General features: G+C 40.1%; 2 protein-coding genes and 1 pseudogene across 2 annotated transcripts in view, besides 1 other annotated feature; 1 reads left to right on the top strand and 2 right to left on the bottom strand.

The window, feature by feature from the left end:
* ANKHD1-EIF4EBP3 (ANKHD1-EIF4EBP3 readthrough) overlaps positions 1-21160 on the bottom strand; it is a 147744-nt gene that overhangs the window by 4660 nt on the left and 121924 nt on the right. The window contains exons 25-34 of the mRNA NM_020690.6: positions 20677-20851; positions 18474-18921; positions 17843-17989; positions 16895-17044; positions 15121-16733; positions 9379-9555; positions 7328-7528; positions 6656-6831; positions 5834-5998; positions 2636-2745 (exon numbers count right to left, since the gene is read on the bottom strand). Of these exons, the coding sequence (NP_065741.3) occupies positions 2636-2745; positions 5834-5998; positions 6656-6831; positions 7328-7528; positions 9379-9555; positions 15121-16733; positions 16895-17044; positions 17843-17989; positions 18474-18921; positions 20677-20851 (3362 nt within the window). The remainder of the gene's footprint in view (positions 1-2635; positions 2746-5833; positions 5999-6655; positions 6832-7327; positions 7529-9378; positions 9556-15120; positions 16734-16894; positions 17045-17842; positions 17990-18473; positions 18922-20676; positions 20852-21160) is intronic.
* ANKHD1 (ankyrin repeat and KH domain containing 1) overlaps positions 5068-21160 on the bottom strand; it is a 138017-nt gene continuing 121924 nt past the window's right edge. The window contains exons 25-34 of the mRNA NM_017747.3: positions 20677-20851; positions 18474-18921; positions 17843-17989; positions 16895-17044; positions 15121-16733; positions 9379-9555; positions 7328-7528; positions 6656-6831; positions 5834-5998; positions 5068-5558 (exon numbers count right to left, since the gene is read on the bottom strand). Of these exons, the coding sequence (NP_060217.1) occupies positions 5499-5558; positions 5834-5998; positions 6656-6831; positions 7328-7528; positions 9379-9555; positions 15121-16733; positions 16895-17044; positions 17843-17989; positions 18474-18921; positions 20677-20851 (3312 nt within the window). The 3' untranslated portion in view covers positions 5068-5498. The remainder of the gene's footprint in view (positions 5559-5833; positions 5999-6655; positions 6832-7327; positions 7529-9378; positions 9556-15120; positions 16734-16894; positions 17045-17842; positions 17990-18473; positions 18922-20676; positions 20852-21160) is intronic.
* Positions 11298-11357: an enhancer, noted in NCBI's record as "active region_23273". NCBI's record gives its function as "activates an Ori minimal core promoter by ATAC-STARR-seq in GM12878 lymphoblastoid cells {active_cell/tissue: GM12878}" and the evidence as "EXISTENCE:reporter gene assay evidence [ECO:0000049][PMID:35858748]".
* Positions 17489-17565, top strand: LOC124901194 (uncharacterized; annotated as a pseudogene).

Below are 21160 nucleotides of genomic sequence, written 5' to 3'. Positions count from 1 at the left end.
GTGTCTGACAGGGGGAATGGGAGAATAGGGTGGAGGATGGTGAGATTTGAGGGTAGAGTCCAGTCTAGTGAAACCAGGTGGGCAAACGGGCGATGGCTGTGAGGATGGAGAGAAGTGGATGAGATTCAGATACACAGAGGAAGAATAAAGTGACTGATTAAGAGTGGGGTGAGGGAAAGTGTAAACTAGGATAATTTTCAGTCTTTTGGCTTGAGAGTCTTGGTGGCTAGTAGCACCAACTAATATGATAGGGAAAACAAGAAGAGCAGCATATCTTATATGAGGGAATGAATAATATGTGTTCAGATGGAGCACAGGAGGAAGCTAGATATAGTGAAGCCATGGGGAGAACTCTGAGTTAGTGGCTCAAATTTGGGTGGTGTGAAATTCAAGAGTGTGGGGATGGGCTAGGATCGGTAGCTCACATCTGTTAATTCTGGCATTTTGGGAGGCTGAGGTGGGAGGACCGCTTGAGCCCAGGAGCTCAAGACCTGGGCAATACAGCAAGACCCTATCTCTATTTATAAATAAATAAATGTGGGATGAGATCATCTGGGGAGAAGATACAGTGTAGAAGCCTGGGCACATCAACATTTATTTATTTAAAAGATAGTAGAGAAAAAGAATTCACCAAAAGAGACTGAGAAAGATGAGTCGGAAATAGGAAAATCAGGAGAAAAGTATCAAAAGTTTTCAAGAACGGTCATTGTCGAAGTGAGGTCTTCCTTCTACTAATCTCTACCACAAAATAATAGCCACAGTTACTACTACTATAATGACTACTGCTTGCAGCTAACTCTTCTGGAGTCACTGTGTGCTGTAAGGGCTGGGGAATAGGTAATTGGCTTTAGAGAGAAAGCCAGATTCATCATCCATGCAATCTGGATGAAGAAACAAGAATTTAAATCAGAGGGTCAATACTAATTACTGGCTGGGCAAGGCGGTTCACGCCTGTAATCCCAGCACTCTGGGAGGCTGAGGCGGGCAAATCACTTGAGGTCAGGAGTTCAAGACCAGCCTGGCAAACATGGAGAAACCCCATCTCTACTAAAAATACAAAAATTAGCCAAGTGTGGTGGTGTGCACCTGTAATCCCAGCTACTTGGGAGGCTGAGGCAGGAGAATTGCTTGAACTCAGGAGGCGGAGGTTGCAGTGAGCCAACATGGCGCCACTGCACTCCAGCCTAAGCAACAGAGTGAGACTCTGTCTCATTAAAAAACAAAAAACAAAAAACAACTAATTACCTATTAGAATATGGAAGTGTTTAAAAAAAATACCTATGCCCAGGCCCCACCCCCAGAGATCTGATTAAGCCTATAAGGAAATACCAGGTCTCTGTTATCAGGCAAATTACTTTGGATTCACATTAATATACCATCAAGATAAAACAGAATGTGAAAAGTAATCACAAAATAGGTTTGCAAACAAGATCGTCTGATTCATGATCTTTTCCAAATTAGGTGTTGAAGCCCAGGGTCATGCCTTTTATTGGAGGTGGTCTTAACACACTTAAGTTTTTGATGCTTAAAACCACCTTTCTCTCACCCATTGCCTAAAGGAGAGGATGGAGGCGCATGAACCTGCCTGTTTGCAAATGACAAATCACTGAGGATAAATAGAAAATGCAGCATTACCAGAGCCCCTCACTATAGGGGGCAGGGTCCACTGGGAAGACATCATAACCAGTTGTATGTCTTGGTAGAAATACTTCTTGCTAGTCAGAGAACAAGATGTTCATTCAGAAGCTGTTTTCCTACAAGCTTGCTTGCCTTTTCTTGGATTTACAATGTGGTCCAAAGGTCTTTTTTTTTTTTTTTTTTGAGACGAAGTCTCGTTCTTGTCACCCAGGCTGGAGTGCAATGGCATGATCTCAGCTCACTGCAACCTCCGCCTCCTGGGTTCAGGCGATTCTCCTGCCTCAGCCTTCTGAGTAGCTGGGATTACAGGTGCATGCCACCACGCCCGGCTAATTTTTGTATTTTTAGTAGAGACGGGGTTTCACCATGTTGCCCAGACTGGTCTCGAACTCCTGACCTCAGGTGATCCACCCGCTTCAGCCTCCCAAAGTGCTGGGATTACAGGCATGAGCCACCGCACCCGGCCCCAAAGGTCTTAAACAGTGGGAAGGAACCACATATACTAAGTACTCCTCTCTCTGGCTTGAAATTATAATGTAGCCAGCCTTTCCCTTTCTTTTCTTTTCTTTTCTTTTTTTTTTTTTTGAGAGAGAGTCTTGCTCTGTTGCCCAGGCTGGAGTGCAGTAGCGTGATCTTGGCTCACTGCAGCTTCCACCTCCTGGGTTCTAGCGATTCTCCTGCCTCAGCCTGCTGAGTAGCTGGGATTACAGGCACATGCCACCACACCTGGCTAACTTTTGTATTTTTAGTAGAGATGGGGTTTCACCATGTTGCCCAAGCTGGTCTCAAACTCCTGACCTCAGATAATCCACCCACCTCGGCCTCCCAAAGTGCTGGGATTACAAGCGTAAGCCACCATGCCCGGCCTCCACTTCTGTAAGTTAACTTAAACTAAGGATGGTCCTCTCTTGCACTAGTTTTCGGATTGTGGGGAGGACTTGGCCAGAATCTACATGAAGAGAGGGAAACCGTAGTTCCAAGTCCTGAAATTTCTTACCTCTGGTTAGGAGAGGCCACCATCGGCCGTCCAATTCTCTTCTTCGGTCTGGTTAGCTGAGGTGATGGGATTTCCCCTTTGAGAGCAGGGACTGAAGGAAGCAGACTGGCCTATAAAAGGGCAAGTCAGCACACTGTAGCCACAATAGGTTTAAAGGGTCTTAAAACATTAATAATTTTATTGGTAGCGGAATTTTATTACATTGAACACAAGTTGAAATAAGTGGGTCCAGAAACCTTGATGATGTAGTTTCATTCCTATAGTTTCATTTCACTGGGTTTGATCTATACCTTAGCAGGATGTTTCTTCACAACTTGAAGGCTCACTAAAGATGTGCAAGGTCTTCTTCTGCCTCCACTAAAATCTCAATACTGGCCCCCATAATAATGGCAGGATTTATTTCGATTCCTTATCAGAACCAATGCTAGGGGCTCTCAAATCTCAGCACTGTAAACAATCTAATGGCTTCAAATATTTCCATATCTTATATTCTCATTCACAAGAAGAAATCCTGTGTTAGAACTAGAAGACTCTTGAGTTCAATTTCAGATGAGAAAAGTGAAACCCAGAAAGGTGAGATGATTTGCCTAAGGCCATAAAGCTTCAAGCGGCAGAAATGAAAATAGAATTTAGGCTCTGACTACTGACTACTGCTCCACTGTATCCATGCTGTCTCCTCCCATATCCCTTGTATATTTTGAAAGTAATTAAGTTCTTACCTGAGCTAGGTTTTATCCAAATGTTCAGGTTGGTAAAATAGCAGTAAAGTAGTGCCAGGAAGAGGCAGGCAGAGGAAGAAGAGATTTAGCAGGTGAAATGAGGTTGGGAGCAGGCTACTGGGATCCAAATAGTCAGAAAGAAAGGAAGGAAGTGCTGGTAAGAAGGAAGGGAGGAGCGTATCCTAAAGAACTACTCCCAACTATACAACTGTTGTTTTCCTCCCAATTTTCCTAGGGATTCCTCATAATTATCTCCTTTCTCTTCATAAATTCTACTTACTGACCTGAAATAAAATTTCTCATTTGGTTGTCCTCAAGGTGCAGAATATGGACTTAAGGCTCCTCCAGACAATTCAAATGTATTGTAGACAGTTAAGATAGAATAAAACTCACCTTTTTGTCCCACTGAATAATTTATTTAATATTATTTCTCACTAGTATATATTTCATCAAGAGTAGTTTCATTCATTTCACCAATTTTAGGTGATTTTTCTTGTTGCTGTTAATGGTAAGTGGAAACAGCAAGATACACAGGTGATCCAAGGAGTCTTTTGTGCCCCACCCAACTGCCCCCACAAAGGTCAAGGGGCCCCTTAATGATACTTGATGTGGTTATCAATCACTACAAAGTAGTAGCTTCAATAAACAACACTTTCAAAATCCATTCAAAACAAAACATAAGACATAAGCTTAATTAAGGAAGCTTTCTCATATGTAAGATGATATAGAAGATTAAAGAAGCAGGTATATCTGACACAGAACAAACATGGTGTGTCTGATGTGGTCCTGGCTTTAGGACCTGGGCAGAGAAAATTAAGAATTCCTGTTGGCATAAGCGTAGAAAGGTGCTGCTAATATAGTTCTGTCCCTAGTTACTACTCTTTCTCTGTGCATCCTTCTTTGCCTTGATATGAGTTTTGGCTTCTCCATCAGCTCCAAACATTTTCTTGTTTTCTTTTCTGTATTGCCTATACTGACCAGGAAAAATTCAGCTATATTAAAACACAAATAAGTTGATGACTATACTTTTCAGTGGGATAACTTTTCCTTCTCTATGCTGATTCTCGGCATAGCCTATGGTTTGGCCAAAGCAGCCCATTCCAGGGTTCCTCTGTTTAGCTTGTTAAACATATTGACTCTCCATGCTTAGGGCCATGGAACTAAGCCTGGAATTACTCACATATTTATAAATATTACTCAGCTGATTCAATAATACAACAGAATGACAGGAGTCACCTCCTTATGTCCCAACTCATATAAAGCTTAAAATATCTATAACCAGACAAATCTTTCAGATAAAAAAGGTCAGGAAGCACAGAAGGAACCTGAAGTTGATAATTTGGGTGTCCCTACATTTGTTTAGTGTCATCTGATTTAAATCCAATTGTTCTTATTGACATTCTCATGATCCATAGAGAAAAAACCTATCAGTGGCCTATCTGCTAGCTAAAGTCAGATAAGACACATTGCCAGAGCTTGAAACTTTCTCATATGTTAAAGGATTATGGAAGACAACAAGGGAACAAGGAATGTTTAACACAGAATAAATAGGTAAATAGTCTTAAAAGTGCTTTTTTAAGGCAGTCTAAGAAGGGACTCAAGTGTTAAATGTGAGAAGCCTGTTACAAATATAGTATTAACCATCTGGTTCAATATAATGTGGATTGAGTGGTACCTGCATGACCACTGAAAGGATCACACCCCACTTCTAAAGACTGTTCATCTTTTTATTGAATATTCTGGTAAATATTTCACATTAATACAGGCTACATTACGTAGAGCCACTATATGACAAGAAATTTACTCAACTTTTTCCTTTTAAGTATGTAAACAATTATACATGTATTTATCACCCTAAAAGGTTGAAACATGTAATCAACTAATTCTCTTCTGCATACAAGTAGTATTCTGTATGTTTAGCCAAAAGCACTAAGGTCATATGATCTTAAGTTCAAAATGGCTAAACTAACCAGAGAACATAATCAGGTGGATAGGAAATCAATTTGTTCTTATACAATGGGCAATCAAATTTCCATTGCTAAAGCCTCAGAGAAAATTTCTTAGGCACATTAAAAAAAAATCCCCATGGTTCTTCCAAGGTCATAGGTTTCTTAAACAAGGCTAAAGAGTAAAGACCTTCTAACTTAGTTGACATATTTGAGATGCATGTTTCCAATATGAGGTGCCCACGTGCCAGGCCAAATCTGAAAAGGGGGAGGAAAAATTGGAATTTCTAATTAGGAATCTTTAGACAGTTACAAAATGAATATATAAATGCAATGGCAATTCACTGTTTCTGCCTAGGAAGAATACACATATATTAAATAAAGTGTTCAGTAGCATCATCTTGATATTGAAAAAGCAATCCAGATCGAAATGGTCAATTATGACTTTTGATATTCAGTACTTATACTTCTCACAAAACAAAAAGAATGATGTGACAAATCTAAAAAACAAAAGAGCATTAAGCCCATTTTACCTGCTGGGCATCAGTGCATTCAGTTGAATTTTGGATAACTTTTATCATAGGGTTCCAAGCAGGATCTGGATTGTGAAGTCCATTAAACAGAGGGCCTCCTGGAACATCAGCAAGCTGAGGATGAGAGGGTATTATGGTGCCTCCATACATGGAAATTGGCAGACCCTAAAACAGCAGGAAAAAAGATTTAATCTTAAAATTACTATAAATTATAAAATTACTATAAATCCCATAATACCAGCTTAGACTTCTCTAATATTCCTCATTTAAAGAACTCCAAAAGATCCTATAAGTACAGTATGGCAGTGTTGAGAAAACAAAATGTTTATCTGCATCTGCAAAGCTTTTCAACAAAAAACAAGAGAGAGAAAGAAACTAAATCCAATATGAAATCATCAGGAAATTTCTCATATTTGATAAAAATAACCTCAACTTTCCCATATTTTAGTTTCATGAATAAGCTTGAGCTAAGAAGAAAATGGGAACTCTACATAATTGATTGCCGACATAAAGCTGTCAGAGCAGACAAGAAAGCATCAGTGAACTCATGGCCAGCTTTTAAGAGGGGTAGAGGCCTCCCTCAAAGCTGTAGTAGCAGAGCACAAAGTGGCAAAACCCAAATCCCTCAGGTGTTTTCGGGGGATGGGGACATCTTCAGGACAAACTACTGTGGACAACTCTGTGCACTCCTGAAATTAAGCAAAAGATCTAGCAAAGCCACAGAAACAAAAGGGAGCATTATTTCAATACAAGGTATTCCTTAATGTGACTACATTGGCTGACAAAGTGTCAATCAAGTTACAGTGATGTTTGTCAACTCACTTTAGAAAAATCCACAAAACCACTTGCCATAGGCTGATGAAAAATGTTAGAGGGGGCTACCATTCCAGAATCATCTCTCTCCATTGGCTGATGTTGGGAGAATGTGCTTGGGTCTGATAATTGTTGATGCATTGGATGGTTCCCCATCACAGATTGCGACCAACCTGATAAGCCTTCTGGAAAGAATAATTGAAAACAAAGTTTTAAATTTATTTGGATAAAACAACAAAACATTACCATTGTTATTACCAAACATGACCAAATGTTACTGAAATCTTTCCTCTGAAGAGCTCAAAGCGTATTTATCACAGTCTTGCTAGCCAAAAAAAACCAGTTCCTGAAAAACTAGGTAAAGTCCTCTGAATACTCCACTTTACCCTGTCTTTTAAAAGATTAAGTACTCTCTGAAAGAACTCAAATGATTATTTAAGAGAGAAAGGACACACACTTTGAATCTTTTGTTTCTGATTAACTCTATGTATTACCTCAACCAATATTCCAGACTCTGAAATTGGACTGAACTCCTCAAAGATATAAACACCCTTCCCTAATTGAGTGTTAAACATAGGAACTAAGTTTTTTTTGTTTGTTTTTTCTAAGGAACTAAGTTTTAATGGCAAACCTACAGCTTACTTAAGATATCCCTCCAGAGAGAGAGCAAGGCAATTGTACCTGACACAGCATTGACACCAAATGACCAGATTCCACTGTGTCCAACGGGAGCGACAAAACTGGTCCCCGCCGGGGCTTGTGCAACAGACCCTCCTTGCCGAATTCGGGCCAGTCTCTCTGTTCCAATTGGGGGAGGTATCTTTCGATCTTGACTGGCACTGACTCCTTTTGGTTGGCCCAACGTTGGTGGGGCAGAAGTGGCTGAAAGAGGTGAAGATGATCCCGAAGAAACAGATGGAATAGGAGAGTCACCTGGTGGCAAAATATTTCTCTATTGTTTTATTACATATAAAAAACTATAAGAATATGAGAAACCTTGTTGGAAAGATCTATTCCACAACATAAGTTCTGTAAAGAAAATTTTCATTTTAAAAGAACATTCAAATAAAACATAATTTCTATAGACATTATCCTACACGATTTCTGCCTATAATAAGTATACAACAGTCTAAAAAATGTTTTCCCAATTGAACTAAACAATGCTAGAAAGGAAGCAGGCCACATTTGTTTTTATTCTAGCTCTAAATAATCTGCTCAAAACATTACTGTCACTTTTTTTTTTTTTTTTGAGACGGAATTCCGCTCTTGTTGCCCAGGCTGGAGTACAATGGCGTGATCTTGGCTCACTGCAACCTTTGCCTTCTGGGTTCAAGCGATTCTCCTGCCTCAGCCTCCCGGGTAGCTAGGATTACAGGCATGCACCACCTCACCTGGTAATTTTGTATTTTTAGTAGAGACGGGTTTCTCCATGTTGGTCAGGCTGGTCTCAAACTCCCAACCTCAGGTGATCTGCCCGTCTCAGCCTCCCAAAGTGCTGGGATTACAGACGTGAGCCACCACGCCCAGCCACATTTGAAAATTAACTAAAATGTGGCAATATTTGCACAGTACCTAGCATATTTTCTAGAAAACATCTGGTGACCCTCTATACTTGTTAGTCTTTTCTTTTTTCCCTTTCTACAGCCCTTTTTGTTTCTATAAGGAAATAAGGTCAAATGTTAGCAAAGCATTGTACGATTTTGATTCACAGCTTTGTTTCTTAATGGAACTCTTGGGTGATTTGGGTAATTTTCCTTGTCAAAAAAGCCAATACTCACTGACTACCTCATGATGCTCATTAAAATAAAATAAAAATCCAATTCCGTTCAATTCCACATACTTCATCTGTTCTAAACATTGAAATAAATAGAACAAAGGGGTCAGGCAGGTGGCTCACGCCTGTAATCCCAGCACTTTGGGAGGCTGAGGCAGGTGGACCACCCAAGGTTAGGAGTTTGAGACCAGCCTGGCCAACATGGTGAAACCCTGTCTCTACTAAACATATAAAAATTAGCCAGGCGTGGTGGCAGGCACCTGTAATCCCAGCTGCTCGGAAGGCTGAGGCAGGAGAATCGCTTGAGCCTGGGAGGCAGAAGGTGGAGTGAACCAAGATCGTGCCACTGCACTCCAGCCAGGGCAACAGAGCGAGACACTCTATCTCAATCAATCAATCAATCAATCAATAGAACAAAGGAATATTTTAACTTATAAAAGGCAATAGTTTCATAAAATGTAAAAATACATGAGAAATCACACCAAACTGACCATATACAAAAATTCAACTTCTTTCCAGATTTAAGAAATAATTTTACAACACTGCTTCCAAAGGGTCCTTTTGTAAAACTACTTGCGGTACTTTTTTTTTTTTTTTTTTTTTTAATAGAGACAGGGTCTTGCTGTTGCCCAGGCTGGTCTCCAACTGCTGGGCTCAAGCGATCCTCTTGCCTAGGCCTCCCAAAGTGCTGGGATTACAGGTGTCAGCCACTGCACCCAGCCTAGTACCTCTTTTCTTGATCCAAGTTCTACTGTAAAACATTTTTGGCTTGAAAGAATAATTCTCAAGTTTTCTATGCTAAAAATGACTGACAATTTTTTCACATGACCACAGAACAAACCTTGGGCATCTGTATACCACTTAGTTTACTAAAGTTACAACATGGTGTTGTAACTGAAATAAATGATTTAATAACTTATTCAAAACTCTTTGGGAAGAGTTCCTCCAGGATTCCTACATGAGTTTGAGGCGCTTGTCCAAGGATGGGGAGAAAAATGTTGTCTGTTGAAACTAGGAGTCCCAACAGGAGCTGGCCCTTGCAGGAAAACCCTTGTTCCTGGTATGCCGGAAAAACTTGCCAGAGGAGCAGAAGAGGAAGATGGGGAGCTGCCTGATGGGTCAATGGATGGTAACCCTGAAATAAAACAGGTCCAAGACATCCAATTAGCTAAAACTTTAAAATTGAAAGCCCAAGAAGACTTCCACCAAAGTGAGATAAGCTGTAAAAATAACCAAACAAATAAATAAAAGATAGCATGTGGCTCATTTTCATAGACCACAGCAAAAACAATCCATCTATGTGATACTGTATGGCCAAATCCATTTTTTCCTTACAGTCCAGAAGAATATCGCCAAACAGCACTAGATACAGGAAAATGGGCTCAATGTTTAAGAGTGTCAGTCACCTGGAGTAATGTTCTAGATGAATCTCAAAGCTTTTAACTGGAGGGGATATGAAATGGGAGTATGCTGTAACTAAGTAGCACCCAACAATAACTCCTGCATTCCCTTTTGTAGTCAAAGTACAGCTTTTCATCTGTATAACTATAGTCATTTTCTATAGAAGATAAGTAACAAAATCTACCAATGTTTCCTTCCTCACAAAGAGGAAAAGCCTACTACTGAGGATAATTTCAGTATTCTATCTGATAGAAAATATCAACAGTTGCAAACTATTATCAAAGTTTCTATCTAGTTTGTATAAATCTGAACTTAGCCATCTTCTCAAATTCCATTGCTTTCTCTGGAAAATGTATTAGGAAAAGAGGATGAAGGTCTGGAAAAGGATTATGGTTTATTATTTCAGGAAAAAGTAGTTAATATCAACATCGACTGTCAAAATTTCTTTTAAGCAGGTCTTATTTTCAGACTTTGATTTCCCCATCATTTAAAAAAAATGACTTCGAGATGTAATTCACATACCATATAATTCACCCATTTAAAGTATATAATTCATTGGATTTTAGTATACTCACAGGATTGTGCAACCATCACCACAATCAATGTTAGAACATTTTTGTCTCCCTTAAAAGAAACTCCATACTCATTACCTGTCATTCACTGGGTCCTCACCCTCATATTTCCATTTCTTTTTTTTTTTTTTTGAGACGGAGTCTTGCTCTGTCACCCAGGCTGGAGTGCAGTGGCACGATCTCAGCTCACTGCAAGCTCCGCCTCCCGGGTTCATGCCATTCTTCTGCCTCAGCCTCCCAAGTAGCTGGGACTACAGGCATCTGCCATCACGCCCGGCTAATTTTTTGTATTTTTAGTAGAAACGGGGTTTCCCCATGTTGGCCAGGATGGTCTCGATCTCCTGACCTCATGATCCACCCGCCTCGGCCTCCCAAAGTGCTGGGGTTACAGGTGTGAGCCACGGCACCCAGCCTCATATTTCCATTTCTAAGCAATCACTAATCTTTCTGTCTCTATAGATTTGCCTACTCTGGACATGTGGGTAACTTAATGCATTTCCTACTTATTTCAGACTTTCATTATTGTGGTAGGCAACAGTAGGCAATTTATTACTGTGCTTTCCTGACAAAAAAAATTAAATTTTCTAGTGCTAACCAAAGTAGATGTTAGCAAAACCTAGAGGTAGTGAGAATACTGAATGTGGCTTTAAAAAGTCTGTAAGTAGGAAATGAATCATTTCTTTCTTTTTTTATTGAAATGAATCATTTCTATAATAACTTCTTGTTTTTTTTTTTTTTTTTTTTTTTTGAGACAGGGTCTTGCTCTCTCACTCAGGCTAGAGTGCAGCAGTGGTGTGATCATGGCTCACTGCAGCCTCGACCTCTGGGCTCAAGCAATCCTCCTGCCTAGCCCCGCTGAGTAGCTGGGACTACAAGCGTGTACCACCACACTGAGCTAATTTATTTTTATTTATTTATTTTTCTTGAGAGGGTGTCTCGCTCTGTTGCCGAGGCTGGAGTCCAGTGGCGCGATCTCGGCTCACTGCAAGCTCCGCCTCCCGGGTTCACGCCATTCTCCTGCCTCAGCCTCCCAAGTAGCTGCGACCACAGGTGCCTGCGACCACGCCTGGCTAATTTTTTTATATTTTTAGTAGAGATGGGGTTTCACCGTGTTAACCAGGATGGTCTCGATCTCCTGACCTCGTGATCTGCCCGCCTCGGCCTCCCAAAGTGCTGGGATTACAGGCGTGAGCCACCGTGCCCGGTCCCACACTGAGCTAACTTTGAAATTTATTTTTTATCAAGACAGGGTCCCACTATGCTGCCTAGGGTGGTCTCGAACTCCTGGGTTCAAGTGATCCTCCTGACTTGGCCTTCCAAAGTACTCAAATTACAGGTGTGAGCCACCACACCTGGCCACTGTCAATATTTTTACAGTGAAATCTGTCAGTCTTTTGTAAAGATCATGATAGCTTTTTTTTTTTTTGGAGACAGAGTCTTGCTCTATTACCCAGGCTGAGTATAGTGGCACAATCTCAGCTCACTGAAACCTCTGCCTCCCAGGTTCAAGCGATTCACCTGCCTCAGCCTACTGAGTAGCTGGGATTACAGGCACCCACCACCATGCCTGGCTAAATTCGGTATGTTTGGTAGAGACGGGGGTTTCCCCATGTTGGCCAGGCTGGTCTTGAACTCCTGACTTCAAGTGATCCACCCAACTCAGCCTCCCAGCACAGGCGTGAGCCACCATGCCCAGCTAATCATGATAGCTTTTAAAGATCATGATGTGCATTTTGGGGACCTAAATGTAGATGCCACATAAATGTACTTTTTAATAGCTTTACTGAGATTTAATTCACAAACCATACAATTTACTCATTTAAAGTTATACTATTCAGTAGCTTTTTGTATATTCACAGAATTGTGCATTCATGACCACATCAATTTTAGAACATTTCTGTTATCCTAAAAAGAAACTCTGAAGCTGGGCATGGTGGCTCACACCCGCAATCCTATCTCTTTGGGATGCCAAGGTAGAATAATTGCTTGAAGCCCAGGAGGTTGAGGCTGCAGTGAGCCATGATCACGCCACTACACTCCAGCCTGGGCAACAGAGTGAGGCCCTGTCTCAAGAAAAAAAAGAAAAAGAAATTCTGCACCCCTAAGCTATCACCCACCCTCCAATCACCCCTTCATCCTAGGTAACCACTAATCTACTTTCTGTCTCTATGGATTTGCTAATCTGGATGTTTCACATAAATGGAATCATAAAATAAATATCTGGTCTTTTGTGACTGGCTTCTTTCATTTAGTAAAATGTTTTCAAAGTTCATCCATGTTATAGCATGAATCAGTACTTCTTTTTTTTTTTTTTTTTTAAGACAGAGTCTCGCTCTGTCACCAGGCTGGAGTGCAGTGGCGCGATCTCAGCTCACTGCAACCTCCACCTCCTGTGTTCAAGTGATTCCCCTGCCTCGGCCTCCTGAGTAGCTGGGACTACAGGAGTGCACCACCACACCCAGCTAATGTTTTGTATTTTAGTAGAGACAGGGTTTTACCATGTTGGCCAGGCTGGTCTCGAACTTCTGATCTCATGATCCAACCACCTCGGCCTCCCAAAGTGCTGGGATTATAGGCGTGAGCCACCGCGCCTGGCCCTTTATTTCTTTTTATACCAAATACAAAATATTACATTCTATAGATATACCACATTTTGTTTATCTGCTTGTCAGTTAATGAACGTTCGGTTGTTTCTACATTTTGGCTATTATGAATAATGTTGCTATGAACATTGGTGTGCCAGTTTTTCTATAGACATATATCTTCCCTAGGAGTAGAATAATGGGATCATATGATCACTCTTAACGTCTAACTTTCTGAGGAACTGTGAAACTGTTTTTCCAAAGCAGATGTACCATTTTACATTCCTACCTACCATGTATGATGGTTTCAGTTTCTCTCTATCTTTTCCCATCTTCTTAAGTATTACTACTTTTTTTTTTTCCTGACAGTCTCGCTCTTTTGTTCAGGCTTGGAGTGCTGTGGCATGATTTCGGCTTACTGCAACCTCCATCTTCTGGGTTCAAGTGATTCCTGTGCCTCAGCCTCCCAAGTAGCTGGGACTACAGACCTGCACCATCATGCCTGGCTATTTTTTATATTTTTAGTAGAGATGGAGTTTCACCATGTTGGCCAGGCTTGTCTCAAACTCCTGACCTCATGTAAACCACTCGCCTCAGCTTCCCAAAGTGCTGGGATTACAGGCATGAACCACCACGCTCAGTCGGTATTACTACTTCTTACCTGAAAACTAGGAAAGTAAACTATATCCGTGAAAAGAGCATCAACAAAAGAAACCATACAAGCAGTTAAGAAATGGGGCCAAGATTATTAATCCTAGGCCCTAGAAGGAAGGTCAAGGATTAATGCTTCCTATCACATCCTGGGTACTGGAAATGAGCTCTTCTTTCACCCTGGGGCTTCTCAAAGTCTATATTACTTTCCCCAAATGAAAAGTTGTAATAGATGCCTATTTACAGAGAGGAATGGAAAAAATTTAGAGAATATTTTGGACCATAGATAGTCATATGCAGGCTTCTATTTCTATTTGAAATACAATATAACAGCTATGTTTTCCTGAAAAGACAAGTAAATGGAAACATATCTGAAATGAAAGCTAGGGCTACGCCATATTCATAACTCACAAATAATTTTAAACAACATAGGTCAGTTTATAATTAGCAACAAAGTAGCATGGAATATGGGGCAGTTTTCCAACTGGAAGAGAAATGCTAAGAGGCAATAGTGCCATATTCTGGGTCGGCCACATTTTTAATTTGTTTTTCAGAACAGTGCAGATTAGACTAAAATTTGGCTCTTAAACCATAGAAAATAGATTCTGGTTCTCCAAATATCTCCAAGCCAAAACTGACCTCAGATCTGTCTATATATTTCTCATAATGCCTCGGCAGCTAATTTATAATTTCAAAGAAGCAACAGCTAAATCTACACTGGTCTTTCAAAAGTAAGAGCCTATAAATGACTGGGTCTCTTCAAATAGCTGTATCTAGGCTGGGCACGGTGGCTCACACCTGTAATCCTGGCATTTTAGAAGGCCAAGGCAGGCGGATATTGCCTGAGCACAGGAGTTCGAGACCAGCCTGGGTAACACGGCAAAACCCCGTCTCTACTAAAAATACAAAAAATTAGCCGGGCATGGTGGCGCATGCCTGTAGTCCCAGCTACTTGAGAAGATGAGGAACGAGAAATGCTTGAGCCTAGGAGGCGGAGGTTACAGTGAGCTGAGACTGGGCCACTGCACTCCAGCCTGGGTGATAGAGTGAGACCCTGTCTCAAAAAAATAAAATAAAATAATAAAAATAAAAAATAAAATACATAAAAAACAAATAGCTATACCTAAAATAAACAAGAGTACTATTAAACAATGTAAATTATGAACTTGTGCCTAAACACCTTTGCAACTTCAATTTTTTAAATCTAAGAAATGCAAACAATCACTATGATTTTTTTTTTAAGTCTGTAAATTTGGAATCCTTGAAACATCCCTGGAGTTTTTTTTATTAATATGAATAGACACCAATTCCAAGAAAATGGACTTACACTATGGTATAACTTCCTTACTATGAGGGACAGAAAAATCATAGAGAGAATCTAAAGCAGCTCATTATATGTGACTGATTTACCTCTTGCTACTTTTTTTGTCCACTTAAGGTGAGATTAGGCCATAGGAGCTCCAAACTCAACTGCAGCAATAGTTAATAACTTACCAACTGGACTAGTAGAAACTCGCTGGGAAGGTGGTCTGAAGCCAGGTGCCTTTGAGTTATCAGGGTGCATGTTTTCCAAGTGTCCAAGCACTGAGTTACCCAGGAACGCTGACTGAACAGTGAAAGAGGCATCTGTAGCAACTCGTGAGGACAGTGGACCATCTCCCCAGCCCTGGTTAGCTGGCACCTGACTACTATCAAAAAGACTGCTGAAGTGATTGAAAAGTGTGGCTGGGCCAAATGTAGGTGGCAAAGACTTATTTGCTGGGTTTATGTGCATCTGAGAACCATTCATAATGTTCACAGCTGAAGAAAGCTGCACTGCAGCTGGTGGGCCTTGAGGTGGTGTTAAAGTAACTGGATTCGTAACAAAAATAGACTGGGGATCCTGGTGAATAGTTGCATTTGGTACCATGGAGTAAAAAGAACCTCTGGGCTGCATTCGATGAGAAACTCGAGGTGCTGGTACAGCTAACTGAGGTAAATTACTGGTGTCCTGATTATCAGCAGCAACCATTCTGGGTGATGTCAAAGTCAATGGAGCAGGTTCTGAGTTAGATGCAAAAGGCATTGACATAGGACTTAAATCAGACACACTGGATGGCTGTGCCTCCTCTTGTGTGTTACTGGAAGTAGGAGTGGGACTACTGGATGGGTGAGTTTCTGGAGCTCCCGGGGTGTTGCTGGCAGAGCTACTGCAACTGTTTGCAGTTGAAGATGGGGTACATAGGTTTGCCATGGGCTGGTCCTGTGTGGACACTTTCTCTTTGGTGGGTGGCACAGCAGAGAAAGACTCCATCTTTTGTGAAGAAAGCTGTGCTTGAGAAGTACTTGCAGGTAGAAATGTGGTGGGAGCTTGCCCGCTAGTGATAGGTGCAGAGGAGACAGAAGGCAGGGAACTACAAGTGCTTGTCACAGAAGAAATCACTGTTGCTGGAGGACTTGTCTTAGGCACACAGGCAAACAACTGCTTTCTGACTGATGAAGGAGTCCGGGTATTAGTGACACACAGTTGCTGACTGGCAGCAACTACAGAAGAGACAGTGATAGGACAACTGGCAGTAGCTAGTCCAGCAGACTCTGAGGGTAAAACAGTCCCGTTCTGGTTAGGTAGACGGCTTGTGTTATTATGCTTTGGAGAGCTATTTGTGTTGCCAGGATTCACAGGTCTCACTGGGAATGGTCCCCATGTGTTAGGAGAAGGTGAGAAGGTTCCTCCAAACTGGGCCATGGGTAAGCGAGGATGCCGAATCTGTTGCATAGTTTGAGCAGCCAGCAGGGCAAAATGAGGGTGAGGATAAGCTAAGGGTAGAGAAACTGGGAAAGAAGAACGTACATTTGTTGGAACATTCTTATTAAGTTTATTAGCGGGCTGGAACGTAGATAACGTTGTTGCCTGTGAAGTTACAAGAGTTGGAGCACCCAAAGGAAATGCATTTTTACTGGAAGCTGCTGTGGTACCTACTCCAGATGAGAAGTTAGCATGAATTGATTTGGTGCTGGCAGGTGTTCTGATATGATTTTTAGGAATCAAGTCTTCCAGTTCCTTAGCAGGATCTTGAATGAGTGCATTGATTAGTTGAACTGCATATCTTGTTGATTCTGTGCCACCCCTAAGGGAAAAAAAAAAACAGAAACAAGACCAAAAACATTAAAAAAAAAAAAAAAGGTAATCTTAACCATCAAATAAAGTTCTTAATTATACCATACCTGACAAAGGTATGCTTCTTATAATTTCTACTCAGAACTAGCAGTATACATTTTGCACAATTACCTTATTGTGATCATTCTCTCGCCATTCTTATCTTTTTGTTTATCCACATCAATATGGGCACCAGTAACATCCTGTATTGCAGTGATGTTGCATCCTCCTCTTCCCATTATCCTCGACACCACTGAGGCTGGAACAGACAATTTCTTTGACCTATAAAATGAAGAATACACATGAGCTTATGAAATTAAATGTCTCTTTATTAAGAAAGATGTCTTAGTAAGTATGTTCATGGACATTTTGGAGAATAACATTTCTTAAATGCTAAAGAGGAAATTATTAAAAGTTTTTATTTTAGAAATTGATCTCTTGTAATATTGAATTGAATTTAGTAAAGTTAAAAATTACATTGCTCTGCAGTTTCAGAGAACCTAATTTTAAAAATTACACTGCCATTGAAAACAAAAATTATATTTAAATCACTCACAATATAAGCATTCAAATCTGCCCAAAATATTACACATCAACTAAACTGCAATGACCCTGTTAAAATAATGAATACCATATTATTAAAATCCACACAGAATAACTATGCTAGCATATTCATTTTAAACCAGTATCAACAGCTCATACTTAGCAATAAAAAATAAAGCCTCAGGTCAATGATGAGCTGACATGTATTCTGAATCTAAAGTTGATTATTAGTACTTTAGTTCTAGAATTACTGAGACATGAGAAAGAAAAAAAGCAAGAGAAAGCCTTTACATTTGAACTACATAAAAAGCAACTGAGGTTATCCAAAAAAGCCAAAATTTCTTGTGTCATATAAAATATGCATGCAAAATTTACATACTGCTTCTAATTTTGCTTTAGCATATTCTGGATTTAGTGTGGCAATGCAGTTTAAAATAATAACCACATTCAAATTATTCATTAATTAACTAGGTAGCCATCTCACATGAGAAAGGGAAAATATATGAAAGCTAAAAAGATGGAACTAATTCTATTTACCTTCGTACAACTTCTTTCCACCCTTCTTCTCTTTTCTGACCCCTTTTAGGGCTAGTGAGATTCAGCTTTATGTTTGGAGAGCTTAATGGCAATGACACTGTCTTGTAGCTGGTTGACAAGGAATTAGGAGTCACTTCACCTTCAAGTCTAAGAAGAGACAAATAGCAAGTACAATAAAAGATAAGTTTTAAGATAGAAACTCAAGAGACTATTCCTTTATAGCCAGAGTTACGCTGAAATATTCGTATTAAACTTTGGCACATCAAATAATCAATGAGTCAGAAAAACAGAAATAGAGCAAAGAACCCATCATTTATTTTAGTATTAAAATGGATTCAGATGCCAAAAATTAGACTATAATCAATAAAAATGACATAGATAAAATCAAAGCATGCAAATATTTTCAACTTCAGACTATGAATCCTATAAAAATTTCTAATAATCTCATTTCCTAACTAGCAAATGATAAAGAGGACATGGGTGAATTTCAGTTTTGAATATTGAAGATAGATAATGTGGTAGACTTCAATTGTTTAACACAACTTGTACTTGGATTAATATACTTCAAATTCTTGTACCAGGCATGAAGAAGGAAAGGTGCAGGTAGAGTTAACAAATCAGAAAAATTTACCGTGTCTGAGTTTTGGAAGTAGCAGTACTTGTCTTTTCTTCTTGGGAATGAAGGAGCAGTGAGGGGTATTTAGAGGAATTCACATCCATCACAAAATTTAACTCTTGGCTTTTACCACCACTGCTACTCTCACTGTTGCAGTCTGTGCTGTCCAAGTTATCTGAATCACTATTCCCACCTGCACCACCACCTCTAGGTTCTCCATTTATTTTATTTTTATCTGCCTTTTGTTGGGCTAAAGACATATGTTGTTCTGGTAAAATTAAATGTGCTGTAGGAGGGGTTTCTTTTGTTTTGTTCTTCTTATTTTTCCGATTGGTGCTGGGAGTTGTCACCACATTGGCCCTTTTTTTCCCAAACACATTTGTGAATGTTGCAGATGTTGCAGAGATTCCAATCGTAGTGGTGGTGGTTGCACTAGGAGGTTCTATGGGAACTTCTTGCTCCACTGAAATTGTTAAAAAGAATAAAAATCATACTGAGTCACAGATCTCAAAACAAATTCTGACAGAATATATTTGATAATTCATAATAATTCAGTGTTTTACATCATATTTTCCTTTCACCAGTATTCACTAAGAAATAAAGAAATCTTTTTTTTTTTTTTTTAGATGGAGTCTTGCTCTGTCGCCTAGGCTGGAATGCAGTGGTGCGATATTGGCTCACTGCAACCTCTGCCTCCTGGGTAGCTGGGACTACAGGCATGTGCCACCATGCCCGGCTAATTTTTGTACTTTTAGTAGAGACAGGGTTTCACCATGTTGGCCAGGCTGATCTCAAACTCCTGACCTCAAGATCCACCCGCCTCGGCCTCCCAAAGTGCGGGATTACAGGTGTGAGCCACTGCGCCCAGCTGAAATAAAGAAATCTTTTACTGTGGCCAGGTGCAGTGGCTCATGCCTGTAATTTCAGCACTGTGGGAGGCCAAGGCAGGTGGATTGATTACTTGAGCTCAAGAGTTCAAGATCTCCTGGGCAACATGGCGAAATCTTGTCTCTACAAAAAATACAAAAATTAGCTGGGGATGGTGGTGCATACCTGTGGTCCCTGCTACTGGGGAGGCTGGGGTGGGCGGATCACCTGAACCTGGGGGGCAGAGGTTGCAGTGAGCCGAGATTGCACCACTGCACTCCAGCCTGGGTGGCAGAGGGAGACCTCATCTCAAAAAAACACACAAAAAAAATCTTTGCTCTTGTTAGCCTAATAAATATTTACTATTATTTGTTGTTAGAACAAATATAAAATATATTTTCTTGTCTAAGGTGGTATAGGACACACATACTAGCAACATTCTTAATATTCTTTTTTTTCTTTTTATTTTTTTTTTGAGACAGAGTTTTGCTCCTGTCACCCAGGCTGGAGTGCAATGGCGTGAACTCGGCTCACCACCTCCGCCTCCCAGGTTCAAGCAATTCTCCTGCCTCAGCCTCCTGAGTAGGTGGGATTATAGGCATGTGCCACCACGCCTGTAATCCCAGGCTAATTTTGTAATTTTTTTTTTTTTTTAAGTAGAGACGGGGTTTCACCATATTGGTCAGGCTGGTCTCAAACTCCTGACCTCGTGATCCGCTCTCGGCCTCCCAAAGTGCTGGGATTACAGGTGTGAGCCATTGCACCCGGCCCAATATTCTTAATATTCTTAATTCTAGTCTCATGAACCCAAACCACAATATAATTTGAATTTAGGACATTTTTCAAATAGTATTTTAGAATTAGAATCCAAGTAGAACAAAATTATTTGCCTACTACAAGCACTGCCAGACAGTACAATAAATAACTCTTTGAGAGTACTAAACCCATCTCTACTGACATTTCAGGCCTCTATATCCTTGAGCCTGAATCTCAGCTAAAAGTAAACTGAGAAATTTTACTTCTAATCAGGAGAGGAAGAGTTAGAGAAGAATCTCAAAAAAAGGTGGCAAACTTCTCACTGTATTGCTTTTAGTATATATGCAGTGTTTTACAAGGTGACTTAAATTACAACTGAATTTATTCAAATTATGCGCTTGTTTTCCCTCTTGTTTCTCTGCATTAATTTACAATGCAAAACACTTACAAATATTTACTATAAAAGTCATTGTCCATTTCAGATTAATAAAGTAATCAAATGTTTAACTAGAGTTAACTAGAGCAAAGAGCACTCAAAATGAAGTTGATAAACAAAGGAGAATTTTATCGTTAATTCAGATGGTTTGTTTCTCACCATCTTCATCATTCTCCTCTTCATCTTCATCCTCTGGTAGTTCCGAATTCTCCTTAGGTTTGTTTTCTTCATCTTCTTCCTGTTTCCTTTTCTGTTCCTCTTTTTTCTTTTTTCTCTTTTCTTTTCTTTTTTCTCTTTTAGCAGCAAGAGCCTGCTTTCTGCTCTCTTCTCTTGACTGGAAATAAAGCAGGTATATAATTTTACCAATAAGGCAGTAATGTAAAATAAAGAATGAAATGATATTTTTATGATACACAGGGATTTCCATGGATGTTACTCTCAAAACACATTTATAAATGCCAACAAGAAAAAATAAACTGGACACCATCAAAATTAAAAACTTTTATACTTCAAAGGAATCATCAAGAAAGTAAAAAATCAGCTGGGCGTGGTGGCTCACACCTATAATCCCAGCACTTTGAGAGGCCGAGGTCGGTGGATTACCTGAGGTCAGGAGTTCGAGACTAATGTAGCCAACATGGCG

Source organism: Homo sapiens, chromosome 5 (assembly GCF_000001405.40).
Source record: "Homo sapiens chromosome 5, GRCh38.p14 Primary Assembly".
NCBI lineage: Eukaryota > Metazoa > Chordata > Mammalia > Primates > Hominidae > Homo > Homo sapiens.
This window is presented reverse-complemented; position numbering and strand designations above follow the sequence as displayed.